This window comes from Homo sapiens, chromosome 13 (genome assembly GCF_000001405.40).
Source record: "Homo sapiens chromosome 13, GRCh38.p14 Primary Assembly".
Classification (NCBI taxonomy): domain Eukaryota; kingdom Metazoa; phylum Chordata; class Mammalia; order Primates; family Hominidae; genus Homo; species Homo sapiens.
In genome coordinates, this window is record NC_000013.11 from 112,614,468 (window position 1) to 112,618,351 (window position 3,884).

A 3,884-nucleotide genomic window follows, 5' to 3' on the forward strand; every position below is an offset into this window, starting at 1 on the left:
CTGATTGCAGGCACTTTACATAAATCACCTTCAAAGCCATCCCAAGCCTGTGCTCGCGCGTGCGTGGACCCAGCACTCCCAATCCTGGCTGTGCAACTCCCCGCAGTGCTCTCTAAAAGACCACCAAGATCTCTGCAGGTTGAACTCAAGGCAGGTGTTTTTGAGAAGTCCTCAAAGGCTTTGAATCCAAGGTTTCATCTCCTGGGGTCACAGAGACCCACCTGCTGTCTCAGCCCTGGGTCTGCCCCAGCTTTGAGCTCCCGCCCCTGCTCCTTTTCTTCTTTATGGAGCTTGTTCTTGACCACCTGTGGATCTCCGTTCTTCCTCCTGATCTCTGAATCATGTTGCACTGAGGAAGAACCTAAATGCTTCTTCTCTATGTGCACCTGCTGTGTGGCGCCCCAAGATATCACATTTGGGCTCCGTAGAGGACACCTCACCCCATCCCTGGCCCCAGTGGGCCCTGTCTCCAACCTCCCCTCAATGTTTTTGTTTTTTTGTTTTTTGTTTTTTGTGAGACAGTCTCACTTTGTTGTCACCCAGGCTAAAGTGCAATGATGCAACCTGCACTCACTGCAACCTCCACATTCCAGATTCAAGTGATCCTCCTGCCTCGGCCTCCTGAGTAGCTGGGATTACAGGCATGTACCGCTATGCCTGGCTAATTTTTGTATTTTTAGTAGACAGAGGGTTACCACGCGTTCCTAGCCCTGATTCCTTCCATATCCCTTCAAAGAGCTGCTCTGCTGGCCTGTCTGAGGTCACCGTAAGCTCCTTGGTGCCCGGTCAAAAGTCTGTGTTGAATTTTCATCCTACCTGAGCTCTCCCCAGCACTGGACAATGACCACTTTGGAAACTCTCTGTTCTTGGTGTCAGGAACACCACTCTTTCCTGGTTTAATAAAACTAATTGACGAATGGTTCCTCCTGTCGACTATCCCTTAAATGGCAGGTTTCCAGCTTCCATCGGGGCACTGTTTGGCTTCTGTGTATCTTCATCCCTCCGACCTGCTGGTGACTTGGATGCTGGGTAATCATCCACCAAGTCTGTGGGCTGCTCCCAGGGGTGCTAACCCCACTCCCTTTGCCCCACCAGCCTCATAGGCTGGATGGACCTTGGCAGCCGGAGGGAGCCCTCAGGAAGGAGCCCAGGTACTTGCAGCAGTGGCCCTCAGTGGGTGTGCCCGGGGCAAGGCGGGGCAGTGCGGGCAGGCTCAGCACAGAACCTCACCACTCTCATGTGATTCATCCATTTGACTCTGAGCTCCCTGAGGGTGGAGGCCATGCTTTATTAATACCTATATCCCAGCATCGATATATTGCCATTCAATAAATGTTTGCTATGAATAAATAAATGAAGACTTATTAAATGTGATTCAAAAGGCACTTAGGGGAAAGACCTTCAGTGAATCATAAATATTCAGAGAAGGGGCCAAATAGGAGGCATTCTTCAGCATTTTATAAGGCTAAGAAAAGATACTTTTACTCCCTAAGTTTGGCTTTTGTGAAATAACACAAGTGATGTGTGATATTCATGTGTTTGGCATAAAACCAATAACTTGCAAATGGCTATTTCTTCCCATTGAAAAGAGCATCGACCTGTCAGATGCATGCAGTTTCCATGCAGTTGGTGGCCAGCCCCTCTTTGCAGGGCCTCAGAGTTATCGCCGCGGTCACTCACAGTCCCCCCAGCTCCAGGTGCCGGGATCTTACAATCACGGTACAAACACTGCATTCGGGAGTGATCCAGCCCCTCTTTGCAGGGCTCAGAGTTATCGCCGCAGTCACTCACAGTCACCCCAGCTCCGGATGCTGGGATCTTACAATCATGGTACAAACACCGCATTCGGGAGTGATCCAGTGGTGCCAGAGCTGACAGCAGACAGTTAAAAGTCCCAGCTGTCCTCAAGGGTACTTTCTCTCCAACAACAACGAATTTATTTAATCCTTTTAATTCTTCCTGTTATTAATTACAGCATTAGGAGTTTCATTAATTTACTTATTATAAAAGCTCAGTGCTTTCTTTGAAAAGTAGTGGATTTTCCTCTTCCAAATTAAAGAGAGGTCCCCCAGGTGCTGGGATCTGGGTTTGGTGACGAGCCTGAGGTCCTCCTGACTCTACAGAACTCAATGTTGCCCTCAAAGCCTTCCTATTTCGCTTGGTAAATCCATCTCTCGTCTACTTTTTTTCCCCCAGAAATGACCATAGCAATTGGTCGTCTGGCAGTATTTTTCTCGCTTCCTCCGTGCCTGGAGGTGCGTGCCTGGAGGTGCATGCCTGGAACTGTTCCTGGCACCTCTGCAGGGGACGTACCCTGGTTTGTCCTGGAGTATGACAATGAGCACTAAGCTTTGACCACCCTTTGCCCTCCAGATTCCTTCCTAAGGGGCCTGGCAACAGGTGCATCTGCAGACCATCAACCTTGCTAAGAGGTCACCCTGACCCCGGGAACTGTGGCTTGCTCTGGCAAGGCTAGCAAACTTTCTTATCTTAACTAACACATAGTAAAGTCAAAAGTTGGACATTCCTTTCTGTTGATCCCAAGTTTTAGACAAAGCCTTGCTCCTTCAAACAATTTCAAAATTAAGAATCTCGGAATCCACCTAGGACCTGGAAATCCCTGCTTCAAGACTTCCTGCCTTTTTGGCCAAGCCAACGCATAACCTCCATGTGTCAATCTGCGACTTTGCCTGTAGGGGTCACACGTCCTGGAAATGTGTGAGGCAGTTACAAACTGTCTGCCTTGGGAGCACTGGGTCAGGATTCTAAAGCCTGTGTTTCCCTGGGCTGCAGTCACTCATATTTGCTGAGAATAAACCTCTTTAAGTATTTTGCAGAGTTTGGTTTTTCCATTGACACATAAGTGTGGTATTGTGTCTTTAGTACCGCTTTGGATGGCCTAAAGCATTTTGTTCTTGCTGTGCTCATAAATTGGTGTTTAAAAGACATCAGATACAAAGTATTTTCGATAATTTAAATTACCTCCCACGACACATGCAAACAGATTACATCTGAGACCCAGCTAAGCCCATCCACTCAGTTTTCTAGATGCAGAAAACCCTCTTTATTTCAGGTCACACAAGCACAGGACTAGGAGGAACCTGGGCGATGCCCTGATTCCTTTTCTTCCCTTCAGGCAGGACCCAATTAACTGACCCAACACAGGTAGAAACCAGTTCTGTCGTTAAAGACCTTTAGGGAAGGTGGTTCCATCTTCTTCCCCTGCAATCAATTCTTACTGCAATGTGAGACTGGAATACATCAAACCTATCCGGAAGAATCGTCTCTGCCAGAAGCTCCCTCCCCAAGGGACTCCAAGAGGAATCCCATGGTTTATGGCCCCTTATTCTTCACCAGGTCAAGGTGCAGAGCCTCTCTCTCCCGTGGGCTGGGAGGCGGCTTTGTCAGTCCACTCGGGGGTTCACACCTGGTGGCTGGAGTTACACTGTCCGTCTGTCTTTGTTGGGAGGCGCCTGTCTGGCCACAGACGGGGCTGAATGTGGACACCAGTCCTGCTCCAAATGCGTGCTGCTCTCTCGGGCTTCAAGATGAAGGTGAACGCAGCAAGACCTGGGGCACCCCCTCCCTCCAGGGCCCAGTGACCCATCCAGAGCTGAAACAGATCAGAAGAGAAGGAGAGAGCAGGAGACCCCCGGCCAGGTCACAGCAGAGGCCCCTGGGAGACAGAGGTCCCTGTCCTGCAGACAGCATTGACCCTTGGACTCTGCTGGGCTACAAGATGGCCCGCCTGAGACCTGGACACATGCCACGCCCACGCCCGCTGAGACTGCAGCCCAGAGGCCGCCACTCAGTGCCCGTTCGCTGTCTTCCCTGGACATAATCGTCCCAGGGCCTCAGCCTTTCCACAGGGGAGAAATTCATGG

General features: G+C 50.1%; 1 annotated feature.

Moving 5' to 3' along the window:
• Positions 3,169 to 3,669: an enhancer, noted in NCBI's record as "H3K4me1 hESC enhancer chr13:113271950-113272450 (GRCh37/hg19 assembly coordinates)". NCBI's record gives its function as "activates a minimal SCP1, AML or CMV promoter by ChIP-STARR-seq in naive H9 embryonic stem cells {active_cell/tissue: H9 hESC(naive)}" and the evidence as "EXISTENCE:reporter gene assay evidence [ECO:0000049][PMID:30033119]".